The sequence below is a fragment of the Homo sapiens genome, chromosome 2 (assembly GCF_000001405.40).
Source record: "Homo sapiens chromosome 2, GRCh38.p14 Primary Assembly".
NCBI classification, from domain to species: domain Eukaryota; kingdom Metazoa; phylum Chordata; class Mammalia; order Primates; family Hominidae; genus Homo; species Homo sapiens.
Genome location: NC_000002.12, coordinates 202,007,107 through 202,032,301, shown reverse-complemented (window position 1 = coordinate 202,032,301; position 25,195 = coordinate 202,007,107). Strand labels below are relative to the sequence as shown.

Genomic DNA, 25,195 nt, shown 5'->3' with positions numbered 1-25,195 from the left:
AAAACTCATTCTGAAATCGAAGACAATTAATTGGGTTCCCTTCCATGGGAGACTTTGGCTTTCTCTGTTTTTCTTTATTTATTTTCGATCACTGAAGATTGCTGGGAATCGTTCTTTCCGATTCACGGTTCTTTGTCCTTCCCCACTCCTGTTAATAGGTCGAAAGGGCGGAAGGAAGCCTTTGGGCCAAGGCAGAGTGTTAGACTGATCACATCCTCCATCCGGCCCTCAGCGGGAGTCGCCTTCTTCCTCCCAAGCATCAGTTTCGCCCTCCCTCCCGGACCCCCCCACCCTTTTTTTCCTTTTCTTTGGGACATGTGCTGAAGGTAATACGATACCTGCTTTAAAAATGTTTCATTCCTTCTTTGTGTTTTTAAAAGGGCCCCCCTTTTCTTTCTAAATTATTATTTCTATTACCTAACATCGGGGAGTGTTGATCTTCGGTTGAAATATGTTGCTTAAAGACAATGCTGCTGCTTTGCTTTGTCATTTAAAGTATGTGTGGTGGGGGGTTAGATTCCTTTTTTCTCTCCATGAGCTTCAGGATATCCTCCTTTTCTAAATCAAAATTTCATGCTTATTCATCAGGCCACTGATCTAAGTCATCTTTGCTTATTGAGGAAGAAATACCAAGCACTGTCATCAAATAAAATGAAAACTGACAGGATAAAATACTGTCTCAACTGCAACTAAAACCAATTTAGCTGATGAGCTTCTACTCTCCATATTATAACCCCAGACAGCTCCGATGTTAGGCAATAGGGATAATAATTTAGAAAAAAAAAACCCTTAAATACAAGGGACGAATGAAAAGCAGTCTATGCCTAAGATGCAGAAAACCCATCCCAGATGGAAAGTGTTACAGATGTGAGTCCTCTTGCTCTGTCCCAGGCAGACAAGTCCAAAAAGCAGAGAAGCAAAGCCAATTTTTAAAACAGATTGTTTTGTTTTTAAAGATTTTTAAAAAATCAATCCAAAATTATTCTCCAAAATAAGAATTTGCTGTGAGAGGGGGAGCTCTGGCTTTCCAAGCCTTGCCTGGTATAGAATGCTATGATTTTAAGGAGCCAAGTCATAGAAGATCAGAAAAAGTAAGTTCACAATGTAAGGGTCTAATCATGTTTTAGGTTCTATGACAAATGTAGTGACATCTGTTTATATTCTGTCCAGGATCATTTTAATTTTGCTTCCTAAGCAACCCCTTCCACACCCAACTCCCAAAGCCACTAACTGGTATCTTCTTGGGAGAGCCAAGGGTGGAAAATTTTGTGACTATCTGCTGCAAAATTTCCAATTGTCCCTGCCCTTTAAAATAACAAAGGCCTTTATTTCTTCACATGTAGTCATATGGTCCCACAGAAAAGTGATGCTATTCATTGGCTCCAGTTTTGCAAATGCTACTTATTTTGGCCAAGTCCCAGGTTTATCTAGTTGAATTACATTCTGATGTCAGGCCAGATTTGAAAATGGCCGTCTTCGTGTGCCCCAGTCCTGCGGTTGTAATGAAGCTCCTGCTGCAAGAATTACTCATGCAAGACTAGAAAGGGCAAATTTTAGCACATGCTTTCCTTTCTGGCCTCTCTTTTACTAGACAATTTTGACGTAATAACATGGAGAACTTGGAATTTCCAGTTGTCAGGTTGTCATTGACTTGTGTTCATTTTTGTTGGGGTGTTGGATCATTCCAAAAATGGGGATATTCTTATCCCTAAAACCCTTTCAAGGGTTATGAAAGTTAGAGATATCTAAGTTGCAGAAGAGGAGGACCATGCAATAATCATGTTAGATGTGCAGGCCGCATCTTGTAGAGATGATTTATATGGTAAATTCAGTCACTGAGTCTGACCAACACTTCCCTTGTCGATTGAGAGGGGTTTTTGTGTTTCTGTTTTTGTTTTTTGAGACAGAATCTCACCCTGCCACTCAGGCTGGAGTGAGGTAGAGTGATCATAGCTCACTGCAGCCTCGAACTCCTGGTCTTAAGTGATCCTTCTACCTCAGCTTCCAGAAAAGCTGGGACTACAGGTGAGCGTCACCACACTGGGCTAGTTGAGAGTTTTATACGTTGACTATTGTATAATCAGGGTGTTGATCAGGGCTGTGATGGCCTCAAGGCTCAATTGGAGGAGCCACTTCCAAGCTCACTCATGTGGCTGTTGGCAGGCCTCAGGCTGTCACTAGCTGTTGGCCAGAGACATCAGTTCCTTGCAATGTGGACCTCTCATAAGGCCACTCGTAATATGGCACCTTGCTTCCCTCACAGCAAAGGCTCAGAGAGTCTCTCCCTCTGAGAGAGGGAGGGAAAGAAGGAGGGAGAGAGAGAGAGCAGGAAAAAATGACGATCAAGATAGAAGTCACAGTCTTTCTGTAACCTAATCTGGGAAGTGACATCCTACCACTTTTGCCATATACTATTCACTAGAAGCAAGTCACCAGATCTTCCCACACTCAAGGGGTAGCAGGGATTATACATAGAGTGTGCAAAACCATTGGGGGATCATAGGGAGCCATTTGAGAGGCTGCTTACTACAAGGATTATTCATTTATTCATTTCCAGAGTATTATGAAGATGAGGCAACAGAGAGAAACGACTCTTGGAGCTCTGTCCTTGGGGAGTCCAGAGAAAGGGTCACAGATAAAAATACAGTGTTGACTGGTTATGTTGCCACTTGCAGATGTTAGAGTCAGAACAGAACCCTAACTCTGGCCAACCAGTTTTCCAAACACATGTCCCTGGGAGAGAAAACATGGAGGAAGTTGATTAATAAAAGACCATGAACAGTTCTGGAAAAAATGTCCAAATGTAGAGCGCTGGCCATTCTGGGGAGTCAAATCTGTACTCAAAGGTCAGAGCATATGGACCATAGTCTGTAGAAAGCGACTTCGGGTATCTGGGTTATGATGTAAAAAGCACCTTTGGTAATTGCTACCCATGTCTCCAATGTGGGTCTGCACAGTACTGATGTCTAGGAAGGATTGCAGAGGTGGTTGATACAGACTGGTTTAGTTCTGCCTTTCACTATTGATTTCTTGTCCTGCCTCAGGCAAGTCACTTAACATCTCTTGCTCCCCCAGGATGTTGGGAGAATTTGTGAGGTAATATTTACGAAATGCTGTGTGATCCATAGGCAAAAAATCATCAGGGCAGAATCCTGGTCTAGTTATATGGATACAAATCTTAGGGATCAAATAAAAGGCCAAGTTAGCTGCATATTTTGGGGCTTTGGCTCTTTGCTGAGGTTGTAATTTTTTTTTTTTTTTTTTTTTTGAGACAGAGTCTTGCTCTTTCGCCCAGGCTGGAGTGCAGTGGCGCGATCTCTGCTCACTGCAAGCTCCGCCTCCCGGGTTCACGCCATTCTCCTGCCTCAGCCTCCCAAGTAGCTGGGATTACAGGTGCCCGCCACCACGCCCGGCTAATTTTTTGTATTTTCAGTAGAGACGGGGTTTCACCGTGTTAGCCAGGATGGTCTCGATCTCCTGACCTCGTGATCCGCCTGCCTCGGCCTCCCAAAGTGCTGGGATTACAGGCGTGAGCCACCGCGCCCGGCCGAGGTTGTAATTTTTTATAGTGGTATGCTGGTAAATGTTTAACAATCGACTCTCCAGGAAAAAAAGCCCTGATGTGTACATTTGCCAATTTCCGTGGTGTAAATAATGCTACCATAGCCGATTTCAAGCCAATATGATGTCACTGACCTTAGTGTTTGGAAAAGATGCACATAATCAGCTCCACAAGCCCCTAAGAGCTTGCCCTGGTGTACCACTGGGTGTGCTAGAACTTATTATCTTCAGATTAGTTTGAGCATCAAAAATTGTTTGTTTGTTTGTTTGTTTGTTTGTTTTGAGACGTAGTCTTGCTCTATTGCCCAGACTGGAGTGCAATGGCCCGATCTTGGCTCACTGCAAACTCCGCCTCCCGGGTTCACGCCATTCTCCTGCCTCAGCCTCCTTAGTAGCTGGGACTACAGGTGCCCACCACTGTGCCTGGCTAATTTTTCTTTTGTATTTTTAGTAGAGATGGGGTTTCACCGTGTTAGCCAGGATGGTCTCCATCTCCTGACCTCGTGATCCGCCTGCCTCGGCCTCCCAAAGTGCTGGGATTACAGGTGTGAGCCACTGCGCCCGGCCTCAAAAATAGTTATTTTCTAAATACAACGACTACCATTTATAAAGTTCCAAGTGCTTTAGGTACAGCATCTCTAATTTCACAACAATCCTGTGCAGTCCAAGTTATAACTTCCTTTCCATAGTAGCCAGCCTGAACTAAAGCTTAGGTCTATATAACATTTTCCACTTCATACTGCACTGCTACCTGATGTCTTTTATGATAAACACTAATGTATCTTCTTTTATATGTCTGATAAAAAGCTATTCCAAAATTTAGAGAAACCCCAGAATTTCTAGGCTGGGATATATCAAGTCCAGGTTAGTGATGACCCCTTGAACATTCCACCTAATTCAGGTTTCAAACCAAGTTGGAAGAATCTGTTAATTTTCTCTAGTTACCTAAGGAACAATTTAATTCCATTTCTGAAACTGCACTAGTGGGCATTTAGATTGAGAGATTTGGGAGCCCTACTCCTGCCCCCTAGGGCAAGTGGGAAACTTGTTGTATATCAGGCTCTCCCAGTAAGATAATTTTATCAAGCAGAGAGCTAGGAGGAGAAGCTGTAGGAACCAGACTCAAGGTAGTAATGAAAGCTTCCAGGGAATCCTCTGGAAGGGTAAACATGGAACTTGAACAGTGGAGTCCAAGCCTGGCTGGTCATCAGAATCACCTAAGGAGTAAATAAAAGAAAAAAGAAAAAAATTTTCTGAAGCCTGAGCCCTACTTCAGATATGTTGAGTCAGAATCTCTAGTGGGGGACTTGGGGATTTAATTTTTAAACACTCACTCGGTGATTCTTTGGAATTAGTCAAGTTTGGGAACCACTGAACCAGGCTTGTATTCCACAGCGGTACATTATGTTACTGATACCTTATAGGATGCCTTTTGTTTTTTTGTTTGTTTGTTTTTGTTTTTGAGATGGACTTTTGCTCTTATCGCCCAGGCTGAAGTGCAATGGCGCCATCTCGGCTCACTGCAACCTCTGCCTCCTGGGCTCAAGTGATTCTCTTGCCTCAGCTGGGATTACAGGCGCCTGCCACCACGCCCAGCTAATTTTTGTATTTTTAGTAGAGATGGGGTTTCGCCATGTTGGCCAGGCTGGTCTTGAACTCCTGACCTCAGATGATCCACCCGCCTCGGCCTCCCAAAGTGCTGGGATTATAGGCCTGAGACACTGTGCCCAGCTTGATGCCTTTAGTTTTGCATAAAGTTTTCACTCTAGTTGATTACTTTTTGAACTGAAGGATGGAAATAATGAGAACCATAAGGGAGTGTGACATGTGTCATGTGTGAGGGGTGTGAATGTGTGTGTGTGTATGTGTGTGTGTGTGTGTGTGAGAGAGAGAGATGGTTGGATAAATGTCGTTGCATGGTGTGATGTTGGGTCTGGGACCTTATTTATGAGTCTCAACAAGGTCACAGTGGCTATTCTGAAATGCAACAGCTGCTACTTCCACAGTTCGCTTCATAGCATTTCCTTAGACTGACCTTGCCATTTGTGTACCTTGTGCCACATGAATCCTGTCCTCAGAGGATTGAGTCTGGAGTAGACGATGTGACCCAGCCATGAGGTTGTCTGGCATGAGACCTCGGTCCAACAGTTGTGCCTGCTGGATACAGAGAGGCCAACTGATCGGATGCTTTCATTTGGGGTTCTGAGTGTAAAATATGCTGGCAGAAGCTGGGAAGCATTCAGTGAGAAGGGAACGAGCAGAAACCAGGAAGCAGTAGAAGCTTGAAGGAAGCAAGAGCTGTGAGGCAGTGAAGTGAGTAGAGACAGCAATTAGTTGGTGGCAGCAGGAGCAGAGGAAGGAAAGACGGGAGAGCAGCGGCCTTTATAGTGGAAAAATACGAAGGAAGGAAGGAAAGAAACAAAGGAGAAAGGAAGGAAGGAGAGAGGGAACACCTGTTTCAGAAGGAGAAGACAAAAAGACCAAGTCCTGAGAGCTGTTTCCTGGCTGCTTCCTTCCCTCAGAATTCTACCATCCCTTTGAATGAAGCCGTCTGACTCCTTGTCTGTTACTAGAGAGAACCTTACTAACCACAGTACAAGGCTTAGAAAAGGGTGAAAACACACGTCTCTTCCGACTTTCTCCTGGAGAATGTGTCCACAGTGGCAGAAGGCTGACCACAGAGGATCAGCACCAGTCTAGGAGAGGTATCCGCTAAAGGCTGATTAACAAGGCTGGGTCTTGCAACCACCTTCTTCTTGCTCAATGGCCTGGATAAAGAATTTGAGAATATACCTCCCAGGGCTGCAACTGACATTGAGTTGACTGTGATTGCAAAAGTGTTTCCAGATAGGAATTATCTGTAAAGGCCGGGGAGACATCTTTCTTTTGGGTTGTTTTGAGAACTAAGTGCACTGAAGAATCTAAAGTTCTTAACATGGTGTGGGGGCTACTAGTTGTCCCCCAATATCTGTTCCCCTCTTCTTCCATAGTAATGAAGCCCTCAGTCGTCAGATGGACATATGACCAACTGGAATAAAGATCTCATTTTCCAGCCTCCCTTTTGGGATCCACTGAGCCCAGGCCATGGGGTGTCAGTAAAAGTGTTGTGTGCAACTTAAAGGGAGTGGGAAGTACCCTTCTTCCCTCCTCCTGACAGCTGCAACTGCACAAGCTGTTGTGGACCATGAGGTGACACTGGGAAAGGAGCAAAAGAGAGAAGGGGCCTGAGTCTCTAACACAGATGTGCACCATGCTAGTCTGGGATGGACTCCCTCTGGATTTCTCAAATATGAGAACAAAATAAACTTTGATCATGTTTTAGCCAACATTGTTTTAGATTTTCCAATGCCTCACAGCCAAGCCTAATCCTATTTTTATCACAACGTATGTGGCTCATGGTAGGTACTCATCAAAAGTCAGTTTCTTTTGCCACTTTTCTTTGATATTACTGTATTCTCTCTTGTATTTCAGTTATTTTGGTGCTTTCTTACCCCACCTATTTATTTGAAAGGTCTTTGAGAGTAGGAACTATGTCTTATTTTTCTCCCTCGTCTTTCACAATGTAGACGTTCAATTTGTTGAATTAGATTGTGCAATTCATCAGTCAGATGAAGTTCAATGAAAATAAAGACCTATACATTGCAGAGAAACAGGATGGTGAAAGGCTAGCTCGGGACAAAAGACTTGAGAATCACAACGGACCACAAGCTAATCATGCGTCAACAATCACTGCTATTGTTTTAACTTATTTGTGTTTAGAGACAGGGTCTTGCTCCGTCACCCAGGCTGGCGTGCAGTGGTGCCATCGTAGCTCACTGTAGCCTGGAACTCTCTGGGCTCAATTGATCCTCCCGCCTCAGCCTCCCAGTAGCTGGGACTACAGGCGCATGCCACCATGTCTGGCTAATTTTTAAAATTTTTTGTAGAGACAAGGTCTCTCTTTGTTGCCCAGGCTGGTCTTGAACTCCTGGGCTCAAGTGATTCTCCCACCTTGGCCTCCCAAAGCACTGGGATTACTAGGATGTAGCACTGTGCCTGGCCCTACTATTGCTTTTAGATTAAACACATAAATTTGGCATGCAGAAAGTAAATGAAGCGGCGTGAAGGAACCAGTATGAAGAGTAACCCAAAGAAGTTAAAAAGGTGACTCTCAAAGGGGTGGTGGAAGGTTGTTGTAGAGAGATTTACTTTTTAAAAAGCCTACTTTCTGGGCCCCACTCCTAGAGAGTCTGTTTAAAAGCTCCTCGAGTGAGTCTACTGTGCAGTCAGGATCCAAAGTAGCTGATGAGAAGACAAGTTGAAAGTTTGTTTCTCTTGGAAAAATATATGAAGTCATTTAACTGTCTTCCCAAGTGTATGAAAATTTGTTTTGAGATGGATGTAGTGCATTTCTCTCTCCAGAGGAACAGAGAAAGACTTCAGTTACAGCCAGGGAAATGAGAATTCTTGGGGTCTTGGTCCAGCCACTAACCCCTTGTTCTCCGGCAAGTCAGTGCACCTCTTGAGGCTTCGTCTGCATCTGTAAATGGTAGAAACTGGGCTTTGTGATCTGGCTCTGCTCTGATAGCCTATGGCTCTATCTGGGAGTTCCTCGCCTAAGCTAGGACTTTCCAAGTAGGGACTTTCTTGTCTTCCCAGGTTCTGATGGCAGCGCAGCAGCCAGGCCCAGCAGCTCACAGCCTGTGCCCACTTGTGCTGAGAAGGCTGGGCACGCGATACCCTGAGTGTTCCCTGAAAGGCCACTTGCCCATCGCTTTTCTAGCCTTTCACATTTCCACTTAGCCGCCTTTCCTTCTCTCCCTTTCCCTGCCTCCCCCTTATTATTCTAAATAGTACTTTAAGCTCTAGAGCCAGGCTCTTCAATTAAGGTGTAGACAAAGTGGTTTGACTCCACTTGATTAAAAACCCTGTGAATGGGAGAGAACACAAACCTCAAAACATTTGCCTTTCAAAGCCAGAAGAGGGGGGGAGAGAGAAACTGTTATGTGATCTCGAATTTGCCAGATGTCAGCTTAGAGGGGCCTAAAGAATTCCTAAGCCTTTGTTTACCAAATCCTTCCTCAGAGCCTCAGTGAACCCAGAGCCTGTGGCTACCTTGCATGAGAGGCCACCGAGAGGCCAAAACTGGATGGGAAGGGGCAGGGTGGTAGGGGTCGGGGTGGGGAGAGGTATTTGAATTTTGTTTTTTCCACTTAATTATCTGCGGCTGCTTTTGGAGAAATCGGTTCTCTTTGCATTGGGAAATTAACCCTTAATCTCCACAAATGAGGGCAATCAACCCATTTACTAAATAAACACAGATCATTGCAGACTGGCTGCTCCTCTTTGTGATTTAATTTGAGAATGGTTTCACCTGAAGGAGGGGCCGAGGAGTGGCTGGCCCTGAGGAACCTGGCAGGGTCCCCAAAGGGAGGTGACGGATCGAAGAGGTGGTTAAGAGAGGGTGGAGTGAGCCAGTTTGAGACTGAAGAGGGCTTTGAGATTTCCTTTTCATGAGTAAATCCGAGTCCCTCCCTGGCTCGGGTCTTACCTTCTGAATTTATTTGGGGCCTTCCGTTGTATGGTGTTAATTTTGGCTTTGAAAGTGTGAAGCCGGTTAAAGCAACTTTTATTAGAATGCTGCCTATCAGAAGCCTCTGGGATGGGAACAGAGAAGCCCTTTATTTCTTAGCTAACTTTCTCATTAATATGTTGAGGAATCTCTCCTTGCTTTTAATTCCCTGCGTCAGTCACCAGTTATTTTGTTTATAGGTAGTCACAGAAGGTTATTTAAATCCACACAGTCACACTGCAGTGGGGCACAGTGCCAGCAGCAAAGTGCGTTCGATAAATGATTGAATGAACGAGTAAGGTACAGCTCAAGTTAAAAGGGTGTAATTAAACCACATGGTCTTCGTTTATTTTTAAAAATGTATTTAGAGTCATTATGTTCAGGCCCTGTGCTGTGTGAGATGCGGGGAATGTGTGTCCCCGCCATCATGGATCTTATAGTCTTTTCTTTCTTTTCTTTTTTATTTTTGAGACAGTCTCGCTCTGTCACCCAGGCTGGAGTGCAGTGGCGCCATGTCGGCTCACTGCAACCTCTGCTTCCCAGTTTCAAGCAATTCTCATGCCTCAGTCTGTCAAGAAGTTGGGACTACAGGTGTGCACCACCACGCTTGGCTAATTTTTGTATTTTAATTTTATTTTATTATTATTATACTTTAAATTTTAGGGTACATGTGCACAATGTGCAGGTTAGTTACATATGTATACATGTGCCATGCTGGTGTGCTGCACCCATTAACTCGTCATTTAGCATTAGGTATATCTCCTAATGCTATCCCTCCCCCCTCCCCCCACCCCACAACAGTCCCCAGAGTGTGATGTTCCCCTTCCTGCCTCCATGTGCTCTCATTGCTCAATTCCCACCTATGAGTGAGAACATGCGGTGTTTGGTTTTTTGTCCTTGCAATAGTTTACTGAGAATGATGATTTCCAATTTCATCCATGTCCCTACAAAGGACATGAACTCATCATTTTTTATGGCTGCATAGTATTCCATGGTGTATATGTGCCACATTTTCTTAATACAGTCTATCATTGTTGGACATTTGGGTTGGTTCCAAGTCTTTGCTATTGTGAATAGTGCCACAATAAACATACGTGTGCATGTGTCTTTATAGCAGCATGATTTATAGTCCTTTGGGTATATACCCAGTAATGGGATGGCTGGGTCAAATGGTATTTCTAGTTCCAGATCCCTGAGGAATCGCCACACTGTCTTCCACAATGGTTGAACTAGTTTACAGTCCCACCAACAGTGTAAAAGTGTTCCTATTTCTCCACATCCTCTCCAGCACCTGTTGTTTCCTGACTTTTTAATGATTGCCATTCTAACTGGTGTGAGATGGTATCTCATTGTGGTTTTGATTTGCATTTCTCTGATGGCCAGTGATGGTGAGCATTTTTTCATGTGTTTTTTGGCTGCATAAATGTCTTCTTTTGAGAAGTGTCTGTTCATATCCTTCGCCCACTTTTTGATGGGGTTGTTTGTTTTTTTCTTGTAAATTTGTTTGAGTTCATTGTAGATTCTGGATAATTTTTGTATTTTTAGTAGAGATGAGGTTTCGCCACATTGGCCAGGCTGGTCTCGAACTCTTGGCTTCAAGTGTTCCGCCCACCTGGGCCTCCCAAAGTGCTGGGATTTACAGGAGTGAGCCACCGTGCCTGGCCCAATCTTATAGCCTTGATCGACAAATGAATCTGGTTTTCTGTGATGACCTTGAATTTGTCTCAAAATTATAATGGGAGTTTGGCCTGAGCTAGGAGCCAGCCTATCCTGTGATTTAAAAATGAAGGGCTAGGCTGGGTGCTATGGCTCATACCTGTAATCCCAGCACTTTGGGAGGCCGAGGTGGGTGGATTGCTTGAGCTGAGTTCAAAACCAGCCTGAACAACATGGTGAAATTCTGTCTTTAACAAAAATACAAAAATTAGCTGGGCGTGGTAGAACGTGCCTAAAGTCCCAACTACTCAGGAGGCTGAGGTGGGAGGATCACCTGAGCCTGGGAGATTGAGGCTATAGTGAGCTGTGATAGCACCACTGCACTTCAGCCTGGGTGACAGAGTGAGACCCTGTCTCATAAATAAATAAATAGGAAGGGCCGAGTTGGAGAATGGTTCAGGGATTGATTTTTTTTTTTTTTTTTTTTGAGACAAAGTCTCACTCTGTTGCCTAAGCTGGAGTGCAGTGGCACAATCTCAGCTCACTGCAACCTCCGCCTCCTGGGTTGAAGCGATTCTCCTGCTTCAGCCTCCCAAGTAGCTGGGACTACAGGCACGCGCCACCATGCCCAGCTAATTTTTGTATTTTTACAAAAATACAAAATTTTTGTAATTTTGTATTTTTAGTAGAGACAGGGTTTCACTATGTTGGCCAGGCTGGTCTTGAACTCCTGACCTTGTGATCTGCCCGTCTCAGCCTCCCAAAGTGCTGGGATTACAGGCATGAGCCACCGTGCCCGGCCTAGGGATTGATTTTTTTATAAGTGATCTCAGACTCCAGTCATTCATTCCCTTTATTTTGGGGGGTGAGAAAACTGAAGCCCAACATGGTAGAGTGAATTGTCCAAGCGCTGGACAATTCACGACAGAAAGAACTGGAACTAGAATCCACACGTGTGGGTTCCTGGGCTTGTGTTTTACCCAAGAACTTTGCACATAAGGGCACAACTTTATTTTCTCTGCTTCCTCCCCACCTCACGTTGCAAATAGCTTGTGTGAGTTCCAGAGTGAAGGATCCAAGTGACTGACCAGAGTGAGGGGCTTTCGGGGTGGCCCGTGACTGGGAGACCCACAGAAAGCTGGTGAGTGGGGCTGATCTGCCTGGTGTCCATAGCCTGAGCTGCCCCGGACAGCTGTGCCTTGTCAAGAAAGGACTGGAAGTGTGTTGCAGAAACCACTGCTGGCATCCAGCCTCACCCCAGAGGTAGGGGAGGGACCTGGCTGTGCTGCTGGCTGTTTGTGCTGGGGAAGGGGCTGTTGGCTTGTTTCTCTGGCTTCCAGCAGACTTGTGAAGAGTTGTTACCAAAACGGAGGGGTTTTGAAAACAGCCCAGGAGGCCAGAGAGGAAACATTTAGAGAAGAGATAAACAAAAGAAGCGACAGACTTCTCACTCTAACAAAAGGGGCTTTGGTTTACCTGTGAAACTTCACTCCTCCTCTTCCCCTAGCCTTAATTTATAAAGCTGGTCCATGGCTCCAAGAGATTACCCTATTTTAAAGCCCTAGTTCTGAGGACCATATTGGTCTTGCTGTGTTTTGGCACCCAGGGTTGGTGATGTCCTGACTTAAATTCCAGCTGAACAGTTAAGAGTAAGCCGGCTAACTGACTCCGGTGTCTGGTATTAGCTGTGTCGTTACTATTTTTATTAACAGCTAACATTTATTGAGTGTTTACCATAGTCAGGCATTGTGCTAAGCCCTTAACCCACACTTCTTGAGTCTTCATCCTCATAGCAGCACTTTGAGGTGGCTACAGTTTATTTGACACATTTTACAGATGGGAAAACCAAGGCATAGAGAGGTCCAGGGTTATACAGGTAGTAAGTCAAAGAATGGGACTTTTTTGAGACGGAGTCTCACTCTGTGACCCAGGCTGGAGTGCATTGGCACCGTCTCGGCTCACTGCAACCTCCGCCTCCCAGGTTCAAACGATTCTCATGCCTCAGCCTCCCAAATAGCTGGGATTACATTACATTCATAGTGGCATCTGCCACTATGCCCGGCTAATTGCTTGCATTTTTAGTAGAGATGGGGTTTCACCATGTTGGCCAGGCTGGTCTCAAACTCCTGACCTCAGGTAATCTACCTGCCTTGGCCTCCCAAAGTGCTAGGATTACAGGCTTGAGCCACCATGCCAGCTTAAGAATGGGACATTGGATCCAGTTCTCTCTTTGAAGAAAAAAAAAAAAAAAAAACACTTGTGGGAAGGAAATAAGAACAAGGAAGAAATTTAGCCTGCTCCTAACAGCACAAGCCATCTGTGTATGTCTGGCCTGGAGAAGGCTCTTAGAGAGCAAACAGACAGGATGAGCTCGTGTTTTCTGTGGAAGCCTCGGTGAGGATGTGTTTCTCTCTACCTCCTATGCAGCCAGCTGTCCCAGAGAAGATCACAAGACCAGGATGTTCATGGGATGCTGCATCACTGTAAGGAATACAGGATGTTTCCTCTAGAAACAACCTCACATTTCTCTTCTAAGAGTGGTAGAGTAGTTTTCCCATTCACTATTTTGAAAGCTCTTAGTTTTGGTATAGTGGGGACTCATCTTTCTTTAGAGATGCAGTTTGATAGTTTTGGTGGAGAGCCTAGGTTTTGTGGATTTTAATCCTTGTTCAGTAGCTTGTTAGTTATGTGGCTTTGGACACGCTTCTTAACTCCCCTGGGCCTCAGTTTCCTCATCTGTAAAATGGTGATAATATTTAATAATAGCACCTGCTTCATAGGATTGCAAAGGTCAAATGAGATAATACAATGTACTTAGTACTGAGCATGTTACAAATACTCAGTAAGGAATGATTATTATTTGTAATGGTTTAAAGAGGCAATTTGATCTGGGCAGATGGGAGCTAAAGTTTCTGGTTTCTCAAAAGGCTGCCAGCATCATGTATGCTCAGTTGAGAGTGAGAATACTGTAGGAATGGCAGGGCCAGAGGAAAGTCACATTTCCATCCTGAATATTTCCAATGCACAAATACACTGAAGAGATGGATGTTTGTAAGTTGCTGCAGACCACAGGAGCTGTTGAAGAAAAAGCTTTCTTTTCCAAATCTGGATGCTTATACCCCATAGAAAAGATATTTTGGTCATCCCATGTTTATTTCTACCCATGCCCTTTTTAGGCATAGGTCTTTCAGAACCAAAAACTGTGCTAGGTATAAATAAAAGAAGAAAAAATTTCTTTTTCAGTTTTAGGCAATATGCATATAGCATTTATCAACATGATTATAATCTTCAGAGGAGCTGACCTTCTGATGGAAAACAGGGAAAAAACTGAAGTCCTAATGGCACATTAAAAAATGTTCAGCTTGCTTTATCTTATGGTCCTGCCTGTTTCATCTGGGATACAAGCCAATTCAAAATGCCCTATAGCTCATTTTAGATTTGCAGAGCCTGTGGAACCCTGCCCATTCTTGCAAGTGGAAGGGTCAGAAGCAGTTATTTGCTGCACAGCAAACCACTGGCAGGCAGCATCTGCATCTAATTTTTTTTTTTTTTTTGTGGAGTCTTGCTCTGTTGCCCAGGCTGGAGTGCAGTGGCACAATCTCGGCTCACTGCAACCTCTGCCTCCTAGGTTCAAGTGATTCTCCGGCCATAGCTTCCCAAGTAGCTGAGATTACAGGCAACCACCACCTTGCCTGGCTAATTTTTGTACTTTTAGTAGAGACGGGGTTTCACCATGTTGGCCAGGCTGGTCTCGAACTCCTGACCTCAGATGATCCGCCCACCTCAGCCTCCCAAAATGCTGGGATTATAGGCATGAGTCACTGTGCCCAGCCTAAAACATATTTTTATTTCCTAGGAGGCTTTGCACTAGATGGTGCTTAATAAATATTTGTTGAATAAAAACGTTGTTTTCTACTTTTCTTTATGCAGTTAAATTTGTTGGTTTAAAATAATTTTCCTCATAATTTCTGAGAGCTTAAACACTGAAGTTTGTGTTTATGTGTGTATGTAAAATAACAATTATAGGAGTTGAGTCCAATCTTCCTCCCCAACTATAAGTCCCTGTTACGGTGGTCCCTATACCTATCACCATGGCCCCCCTTGAATACATCTGCCTTACTATCTTTAAAAACACACAAAACCCCCAAAAACAATTAATTACAAAAATGCTGTTTTATGTTGTAGCAAGTAAAAATGGTGCCCTGTCTTTCATGACTTCTATAAACCAGTAAGGGCTTTGAGCACCCAAAGGCTTAGAACCCCATCTTACTTTTCAAAAACAAACAAACAAACACACAAAAGAAACACAGATTCTTTTGATAAACATAAAACCCTCACAATTGCCCAGAAAGTCTAATGTGTTTTTTTTATCTGCATGTTTTAGATGCAGAAATGGACACTTAGAGAGGCTAAATAACTTGTCCAAGATCATGGAGCTAGTAACTAGTGGGGCTGTGATTTGAACCCGGGCCATCTGGCTTCAGAACTGGAGGCACCAGTTGATCACGCTGACAAGTGTCAGGTGTCTGTGCCACTGGCCAAAACACAGTTCTGGCAGGAGAGATCTCAGCTCTGCTTGAACTCCAGGGAGAGAGGGCTTTCTTTGCATGTTCCCATTTCATTTTTGGACAGCTTTAATTGTTAGAAAGTCCTTCACTATATTGAACTGAAATCTGCCTCCCCAAGGCTTCCATTGATTTTCACAGTACAAATTTAATCCCTCTCCCACACAACCACCCCTCAGATATATGTGTGCCACCCCGCCCCCACACCTCCTCCTCCACCCTGTTGGTGGGAACACTGGAAACAGGCCCTCTCAAGGTTCCAGGCCCCTAGTGCGGCTGAGACCACAGGGAGGCTAGATGGGGCTTATACAGGAGGCGGAATGTTAAATCAGGTATTGCCAGTTGTTGTAGGTAATGTTTAGAACCCTGGACAAAGAATTCTCTAGGAACCAGCTAAGAATGGCTCACCATCCCTGAATTATACACTTCCCTGTAACATGGACATTGCCATAAGATGTCGTTGATCCTGAAAGTGGCTGAGTCTTTTTTTTTTTTTTTTTTTTTTTTGAGACAGAGTCTCGTTCTGTCGCCCAGGCTGGAGTGCAGTGGTGCAATCTTGGCTCACCACAAGCTCCGCCTCCCGGGTTCATGCCATTTCCTGCCTCAGCCTCCCAAGTAGCTGGGACCACAGGCGCCCGCCACCATGCCCGGCTAATTTTTTTGTGTTTTTAGTAGAGACGGGGTTTCATCGTGTTAACCAGGATGGTCTCGATCTCCTGACCTCATGACCCGCCCATCTCGACCTCCCAAAGTGCTGGGATTATAGGCGTGAGCCACCGCGCCTGGCCTGTAGCTGAGTCTTTATTCCAACCTAATTAGTTTCAGTGGGAAGGGAACCATAGACAAAAAATTATTGAGGATGAAACCCCAAGAGACATCAAAATGGGTAGGATGGAGCGCCCAAATGGGGATGCAGAGCAGGTTCTGCAGCAGGAATGATCATGTGATGCCTAATGGGTTTGAAATGGCAGTAGACACTTGCTAAGTGCATACCCTGGTCTGAGCACAAAAGAGACTTAGAAATGCAGTTTTAAAGTCATTTCTGTTCCCTCCATTGATTACGTTATAGAAATAGAAACGCATGGGTGTGTGGCAGGTGGTGTATAGTAGCAAAGCAACCAGGGCCTGCTCCTTTGGAATATCTCAGCCAAGGAGACTGAAGGAGTAGCACGTTTTGGCAGCAATTTTTAGCCGTTCTCTCCACCCCCAACTCCCAGCCTTTGGCTAGACTTGGCACCTGATGGATGGGTGGCTTATCTTTGTATAACCACATGGCCGAATATCTCCAAAAGGCCAGCAAAGATATGGTAGCCTCAAAGCTCAGCAGGACCCAAATCCTGACCAGATCCAAAGATCCTTTGGAGAGGCAGCAAACATGGCCAGCAAAGGAGATGCCCTAATTGTGTCTAAATGCATGTGTTCATTCATCCATCCAAAACCAAGTGTGCTGGCCCCTGTGTGTGGACCCACAGATACAGTGGTAAACAAGCCCAGTACAGTCTCCGTGTCGTGCCGTACAGACTTACTGCACACATACCACGTGCCAGGCTCTGTGCTGGCCTGACTTGGTATGTAGGCCCTTAATGTCCCATCCTTTTAGGGGTTTTAGGAAGGAGATGTGGACGGCAAATGTCTTCCATGCTTTTGGAATAGGCTTCTGTTGGGGGTATGCTGGGACTGCTCGTGCTGGCTGTCTTCTTGGAGATGTGAGATGTGCAGCCACCAAGGGCTCCTCAGAGGAACACCCACAGGACTCTCCATCCACGCCTCCATCAGGCAAATTCCCCTTTGTCTAAATTTGGATGTTGTTCTCTCTAACGGAGCAGAGGGTAAGTCTAGCAATGTCAGCCTCCCTTGGAATCTCAGGCCAAGCCTTTGAGCAGACAGGCATTTCTCATCCTCAGTCTCTCAGCATCTCCCAGCGATTAACATAACCTGACACCAGGCCCATCAAGATAAGGATCCTAATGGCCACAATGTCTTCCCTTTCCTCCCCCAGCCCTTCTTTATTGCTCTGCACATTACGCTCACTTCCAGCAGGGAAGAGTTTAGAAGCGTGGGGCTAGGCGACCCCGTTCTGCAGGCAGCTCCCCGCAAGGCTTGTGCGAGGGCTCCAGGGACAGAGAAGCATTTCCCTTTAATAAGCTTCTCACACTACATTAAAGATAAAAGGGGAAGGGAAATATTTATATTCTGACAAAGCAGCTCTTCCCTTCAGGCTCTTGTTTTATTTATTAACTTGCTCTGTCCCTCTCTCAGTCTTTCTCTATTTCAGGGGCGAGGCATTTCCTCTCCTTCTCCCCTTTAGTCACTAATTTTGTGGGTGAGTGACAGTGACAGAGGGACTTTAGAATCGTTGTCAAAGAGATGGGATTTATAGGTGGGTGCCATTCCCAGGTGACACACACAGCTGTTCCTGTACCCTCTCGGGAGATGCTCCCCCATTACCACACTTATTATATAGCCCTTGGACGGCAGGATGAATCATGCTGGTTATGTTATGTCATTTAAAATGAAGCTGTGTCAGTCCAGCAAATTGCTCAGAGATACAGTAATCTGGATGCTGACTCCGTACACCTGGGACTTCTTCGACCTCTTCTTTTATTGCATATTTTCCTCTCTCCCAGAGGTGATCTCTTGAGGAAGCTTATTTCCTCCAGCTAATCTGCCTAGAGCCAATAAAACACAGATATGCTGTTTTGCAATGATTATCATTAAAGTTGCAGGCTACTATTGTTCCAAAGCCTACTCTAGTTGTAAAGGAGTTAATTCTCTTAAACATGCCCTGCCTAGATTATTAGATGGTCAGGATGGTTTAGCCTCTGTTCTGTTGGCCCAGGGAATATTCATCTTGTTTTCCAAGTAGAAGCTCTTTTGTTTTTTGGTAGTGACTTTTTAAAAGTGACATATGATCATCATTTAAAATTTCAAGTACAAAGAAAGCAACAAATGTCCTACCTATCCACTTGTGGAGAAGCAATATAGGGTGATGGTTGAGAGCAAAGACAGCAAAGACCCTGGAGTCTGAATCCCTGGGTTTGACTCTTAGCTCTCCCATGTACTATCTGTGTAACCCATAGGAAACATCTCCATTCCTCAGTTTCCTTACCTGTAAAATGGGGGTGATGATATCTACTCCTTAAAAATTTTATGTGGGGGGCCAGCGGTCCTCATGCCTGTAATAGCAGCACTTTGGGAGGCTGAGGTGAGTGGATCGCTTGAGCCCAGGAGTTCAGCCTGGACAACATGGCAAAACCTCATCTCTACAAAAAAATATTTTTAAAAAATTAACTGGGTGTGGTGGCGTGCACCTGTAGTCCCAGATATCTGGGAGGTTGAGGTGGGAGGATCACTTGAGCCCAGGAGGTGGAGGCTGCAGTGAGCCATGATCACGCCACTGCACTCCAGCCTGGGCAATAGAGTGAGTTTATGAGGATTAAATTTGTAGATACATGTAAAGTTCTTAAGATAGTGTTGACACGTAGTGAGCACGTAAAAAGAATTAGCTATTGTTACAATTACCATTGAAAAATAATCAGAAAGCAAGAGAGGTCACAAATAATTTTATTGTAACATGATTATATTATGCATGCTTTTAAAATAATTAAAAACATTAGGCTTGGTTTTACCTGAACTTAACAGTAAAAAGGAACTCAGGTGAAATTAATAAACTTCAAAGATTAGTTCCTGAATGACAAGACATGTTAGTTTCTAGAAGATCATCCCAAGATTAGAAAAATATAATGGGTGATGAAAATTAATTGAAAGGTTGGGTGGGTGGTTTTGATTGGCTTCCTGCCAGGTAATAAGATGATTTAGTGCTCTCATGCTTCTTCCCCACTCCCAATTTTTGATGCTTCTATAATTTTTAATTTGTTTGACTTTATAGCATCTACATTCTGATTTGCATCTATTTATTTCTCCAGAGGTCTAGTCCTCTTTCTATATTTAATTGAATTCAGTGTTTACTGCTAGTCCTTTTATCAAGAGTTTCACATTACTAGTTCTCTAATTTGGTCAATTTTTTTGACTGGTTGTATTTCACTGTCGAGTAGGCTTTTTTCTCCTATTTTTTGCCCCTGCAGAAGGACTTAGTGGTGTTATATTCCCCAAATTCTTTCATATTTGAGAATGTTTGACTGTTATGTCACTATGTATGTGAGTGACATCTTGCTGAGTGTAATGTTCTTGAGTTGCCTTTTCTTTTCCTCAAAACCTTGTAGGCATTTTTCTATTGCCTTCTGGCATTAAATGTTGCTATTTGGAAGGATGATGCCAGGCTTGTAGTTTTCCCCTTGTCAGATCCTAGGTTTTTTTTTTTTGTTTTGTTTTTTGTTTTTGAGATGGAGTCTTGCTCTGTCACCCAGGCTGGAGTGCAGTGGCATGATCTCGGCTCACTGCAGCCTCCACCTCCCAGGTTCAGGCGATTCTCCTGCCTCAGCCTCTCTAGTAGCTGAGGTGCACTTCACTACACCTGGCTAATTTTTTTATTTTTATTTTTAGTAAAGACAGATTTTCACCATCTGTCTTTACTAAAGTTTGAGAGCTGGTCTCAAACTCCTGACCTCAAGTGACCCACCTGCCTCAGCCTCCCAAAGTGTTGGGATTACGGGCGTGAGACACTGCACCTGGCCAAGAATTCTTGTTGATCGATCTATATCATATTTCCCTAGTTTAGAATGGGTCCTTCCTTCCTTCCTTTCTTCCTTCTGTCCATCCGTCTGTCTGTCCTTCCTTCCTCCCTCCCTCCCTCTCTTTTTCTTTTCTCTTTCTTTCTTTCTTTCTTTCTTTCTTTCTTTCTTTCTTTCTTTCATTCTTTCTTTCATTCTTTCTTTCTTTCTCTCTCTTTCTTTTCTTTTCTAAGTATCTAGACCTTGTCTGGCATAGAATGGGCCCTATTATTTTATTTTATTTTGTTCATTTTTTGAGATGGGGTCTTGCTATGTTGCCCAGACTGGTCTTGAACTCCTGGGCTCAAACAACCCTCTGGCCTCAGCTTTCCAGGTAGCTGGATTATAGGTGTGTGCCATTGTGCCCAGCTGAGTGGGCCTTTTAAATCTGAAGACTCAAGTGTTCTTTGAGCTTGGAAAAGTTTTTCTGTATTATGTTCTCAAATATTTTTTCAGTTCTATTTTTTAGGATAGGAGGCTTCTGTTTCAGTGATGGATATCAATTTACCCTCTATTTCTATTCATTTCTTAATAGTTGCTTTAATTATTGCTTTCCCCCTCTGTTTTAACTTGTATTACCTCAAGTATTTTCCTGATGTGTTCCTTTCATTTTGGGGGCTGGTGCTTTTTGTGCCTTTAGTTTTTTCTGACTTACAGAAGGTGATGATTTCTTGGTCCTTAATTGTTTCTTTAGCTGCCTGATCTCTCCTTTCATCTCATTCTTTTGATAGTTTGTTTCAACTTTGAGTTGACTGAGTATTTGTCCCTAAGGGTTACCAAAGAGGCAGAGGAACATTCCCGCCCTTGACACTGTAGTATAGCTTGGGGAGAGAGAAAAAGTTAAATGGCAATCAAAACTCTATATGCTCAAGAAGAGTAACTAGACATCAGGTGCTGTGAGTGCTCAGAAGAAGGAAGAGGAGTTTCAAAAGTTGGTGGTTGGGATGTTCAAACACCTGGGACAGAGGGATGCGCAGCATTTCAGCAGGAAGTCCTCTGGTCTGTGGAGGACTGGGTAGGAGCAGGCAGATGGCAGACAGTGGGAATCACAGTGTATGGCGGGTTCATTTAGCACAGCATTTGGGTCTCCAGGCTTCAGAGTCACACAACCTGGGTTCAACTCTGCTCTACTACTTGTAAGCTGTGTAACCTTGTGCCAGGTACTTGATCTCTCTGAGCCTCACTTTCCTAGTCTATGACACAGCAATAAGCCATTTCATGGCATCATTAAGACTAAATGAGATAACTCATCTGAAGGGGAAGGCAATCAGCACATTGTTATAAGTGCTTAATAAAGGTGACTACTATTGTGGAAGCCCTTGAGTTCCTAACTAGATTACTGAGTCCTTAGGAGAAGGAATTGTGTCTTATTCCTCATTGTGTGCCTCACGCATAATAGATGAGCAATAAATGTATGGATGACTTTATTTTATCATTTAGGTCATATTTCATTGCACGTAGCAGAAACCCTAACTCAAACTGGCTAAAACCAGGGATGCATGTAGGATCCCATCATTCTGTAGGTCAAATCCAGCCTGCTTCCTGTTTTTGTACAGTCTGTGAACGAAGAATGGGTTTCGCATTTTTAAGTGTTTAAAAAAATCAAAAGAATATTTGGAGAAACTTGAAAATTATATGAAATTAACATTTCAGTGTCTATAAATAAAGTTATATTGGAACACAGTCATACATTCATTTATGTATGGTGTATGGCAGGTGTTGGCAACCTTTTCCTATAAGGGGCCTGATTGTAAATATTTTAGGCGTGGGAGACTATATGTCATCTGTCACAGCTACTCAACTCTACTGTAGTAGCATGAAAGTAGTCATAGGCAATAACCTTAGAAGAGAAGATCTGAGGACAGGAAATAGGGTAGAAAAGTGGAAGGGCTCCTGGGTTCTAGGTCTCCTGGGTTCTAGGCTTGGCTTTTACCAACCAATAGTAGGATATTCATCAAGTCACGTCACTTCTCTGGGTCAGATTTTATGGGAAATGAAAGAGTTTAACTAGATTTCAAAAGCTTCTTTTAGCTTCAAAATTCCTATTTTTCTATTTTGGTTTTCCATTTTAACAACCTGGACTTTTTCTGAAGGTGTGTGTCGCAGTTAGAATACTTCGATTGCAAGCAACAGAAGCCAATTCTAATTAATTTAAGCAAAAAGACATTTATTGTGAAGATATGCGGGTAGGTCACAGAAATAAAGGAAAAGCAGAAAATATAGGCTCAGAAAGGACAGGAGCCAGAGCAAAGCCCAGGGTTCAGGCCGCAGGAACCAATGGATACTCTCTTCAGGGTACTGCAGTCTCCGTTGACCTCTGACCATTCTCAAGAACATTCAAGACTGAAATTCCGGTGTTGTGTTTCTAGCCTGGCTTAGATTTGGTTAAAAGAACCACTACGATTGTATCCAACAGGAAGCGATAGTTCCCCAAAGCCAAATGAGGAGCTGTTACTAGAAAAAGAGGGGATGGAAGCTGAGCAGGCCAAAAGGACAGATGTCCATGACCGTGAAGGGCACAGTTGTTTAAGTGCTAGACGTTGTAGCACGAGGAGCCAATACTGACTCTTGAGTCATTTGCTCATTCTCTCAATAAACTTACTGAATTTAGTCATGCCATTTTGGAAGACACCAAAGAAATATAGTAATGATCTATAAGACTGGTGGGAACGGGTGCTTGGATTTTACTCAGGAAGACCTGGGAACAAGATTGTATTCCCTTTTAATTGGAATCATTAAAATATATCCAGGCTTATGCAACTGCAGCTCATTATAGGGAGATGTTAAGTAATTCTCTAATTATATGTATTACACTGTAGGCAGAAGATCCTCAGACAAGTGACTTATCTCACATGTCAAGGGGCAGAGCTAAAAGCAGGACTTGACTTCCTGACTTGAATAACTGTTCTGAACCAGCTGCCTAGCAACCATGGCCTCCGTTCAGGAGCAGCTACCATGTGAGGAGCGTCGGTGCCCGGCTGCTCCACTAAACTGTGAATTTCTCAAGGGCAGAAACAGGGTCCTGTTCCTCTGCATTTCCCCCAGGGCCTTGTCTGGCATCAGACACACAGAAGAGAGATCTTCAGTAAGGAGTCAGCTTTACAGTTTCCATCAATGAAATGAAGCCTGTCTCTGCATTAGATGATGACTTGAGCTGAGAAGTACTGAAAACATGCCCAGCTGCTGTCAGCAAAGCCTGGTCTGGGGACATGGAAAGGACATATTTCAGAGCGAGAGAATTTCAGACATTCTAACAGGACACTGAGCTGTAAACTCTGCAGTGTTCACATTAGACGACTTCTCCATCTCAATGTGTATCTTATTTCTTCTGGCAAATAATGAAAAATTATGACCTCACAAAGCAAACCAGTGAGTGCAATTGTCTCTATTCATCTCTCTCCTTCTCGACAGGAGAAAGCTAGGAAAAATAAATTCCTATTTTTCTATTTTGGTTTTCCATTTTAACAACCTGGACTTTTTCTGAAGGTGTGTGTAGCAGTTAGAATACTTCGATTGCAAGCAGCAGAAGCCAATTCTAATTAATTTAAGCAAAAATACATTTATCATGAAGATATGCGGGTAGATCACAGAAATAAAGGAAAAGCTGAAAATATAGGCTTAGAAAGGACAGGAGCCTTTCTAATTGCCTTGAAATTTGCTCAGAAGGAAATGTTTATAGAAATTTGTCTTCAATCAGGGCCAGGCACAGTGGCTTATGCCTAAATCCCAGCACTTTGGGAGGCTAAGGTGGGCAGATCCCCTGAGGTCAGGAGTTCGAGTCCAGCCTGGTCTACATAGTGAAAGCCTGTCTCTACTAAAAATGAAAAAATTAGCCGGGCGTGGTGGTGTACACCTGTAATCCCAGCCATCTGGGAGGCTGAGGCATGAGAATCGCTTGAACCAGGGAGACAGAGGTTGCAGTGAGCTGAAATTATGCCACTGCACTTCAGCCTGGGCAATAGAGTGAGACTCTGTCTCAAAAAAAAAAAAAAAGAAAGAAAAGAAAAAAGAAAAAAATGGTTTTTAATCAAGTACTTGTGCATGTGTGCACTCTTTGTTTAGGAAAAGTGGCTAACTCACTTGACCTACCTCTAAAGGCTGGTACCCGGGCCTTTCTTCAGCTGTCTGATTCTGCAGCTGCCCGAGGCTCAAGCAGGCTCACCCCTCCTGGGCCTGAGCAGGCAGGATTAGCCCCACAGATGCATGCTGGAAGGGTGGATTTCAGAGATCATGAAATCATTTATTAAATAAACATGCTTATCCTTTTTCTTGTTATTTACCTTCACCTGAAAAAGGAGGTTTCTTAGTACTTCCTTTATTTCTCCCCCTGAGCCAATCAGTTGGTCCCACTAAACCTAGATATGTGGGATGACAGGGACTTCCAGCCTCAGTTTCACAACAACCTAGAGTGTCTCCAACTCTCTGAAGGCATGTTGAGAAATCCTCAAAATTAAATTAACCTCAGTTCACTTTGGCTTAATAAATCAGTATCACTCTGCACTGTAAGGCACAGAAGGGAGAATGTTGGGAAATCAACGACTTTGTAGATTGTCATATCTCCAAAAAGGCTTGGTCCCTTGGAGATTACTTTGGGCTGGTTCATCACCACTTTTCTTATCTCTATGGCAAGAATATGGTGTTGATTTTTTTAAGGGAAGATATTTTTCTTTCTGTATCTCAACAAGAACCAGCCCTCTACACTTACCCCAGTGTCCTTAACTGTCTCCTTACTGTGTCCATATAACTGTGGTTCTTTCATGTCCCTGCTTTGCCCTCACCCTGTGTCTATTGCCATGTCATGGTGGTCTCTCAGCCTTTGTGTGACAGCAAATCTCAGCTACTTATTAATAAGGCTCAGCATGGGCCGACTTCCACCATGCCAGTTTCCCTGGCAACACCAGTGGGCAGTAAAGATCTTAGACAAACTTTCTAGTAGGTCACCCCTGAGCTATACCTCCCTTAGAATCCAAGAGATTCTCCAGAGAGCCCTGCTCCTATTTTGGTTGGACCTCATTTTTCTCTGTATAGCCACAGAGATTAGAATTACACAAATCTAGAGCAGTGTTGAAAGATCTTACAAGAAATGTCCAGATAGAAGGGTGGCAGCAATACGAACAGCCGTCAGGGTCTCTGATGGGGCCACCCAAATGCAACTGGCACCATGCCTGCCCTCCAGGCGGCCAGCATTTGCT

The 25,195-nt window shown here is 43.8% G+C and overlaps 5 annotated features.

The window, feature by feature from the left end:
- Positions 7,982–8,276: a silencer, noted in NCBI's record as "tiled region #624; HepG2 Repressive non-DNase unmatched - State 21:Repr, and K562 Repressive non-DNase unmatched - State 22:ReprW". NCBI's record gives its function as "represses a minimal TATA promoter and a strong SV40 promoter by Sharpr-MPRA in HepG2 and K562 cells {active_cell/tissue: HepG2 | K562}" and the evidence as "EXISTENCE:reporter gene assay evidence [ECO:0000049][PMID:27701403]".
- Positions 7,982–8,866: a biological region, named in NCBI's record as "Sharpr-MPRA regulatory region 624".
- Positions 8,003–8,866: an enhancer, noted in NCBI's record as "OCT4-NANOG-H3K27ac-H3K4me1 hESC enhancer chr2:202888159-202889022 (GRCh37/hg19 assembly coordinates)". NCBI's record gives its function as "activates a minimal SCP1, AML or CMV promoter by ChIP-STARR-seq in naive and primed H9 embryonic stem cells {active_cell/tissue: H9 hESC(naive and primed)}" and the evidence as "EXISTENCE:reporter gene assay evidence [ECO:0000049][PMID:30033119]".
- Positions 8,867–9,732: an enhancer, noted in NCBI's record as "OCT4-NANOG-H3K27ac hESC enhancer chr2:202887293-202888158 (GRCh37/hg19 assembly coordinates)". NCBI's record gives its function as "activates a minimal SCP1, AML or CMV promoter by ChIP-STARR-seq in naive and primed H9 embryonic stem cells {active_cell/tissue: H9 hESC(naive and primed)}" and the evidence as "EXISTENCE:reporter gene assay evidence [ECO:0000049][PMID:30033119]".
- Positions 11,439–11,964: an enhancer, noted in NCBI's record as "H3K27ac-H3K4me1 hESC enhancer chr2:202885061-202885586 (GRCh37/hg19 assembly coordinates)". NCBI's record gives its function as "activates a minimal SCP1, AML or CMV promoter by ChIP-STARR-seq in primed H9 embryonic stem cells {active_cell/tissue: H9 hESC(primed)}" and the evidence as "EXISTENCE:reporter gene assay evidence [ECO:0000049][PMID:30033119]".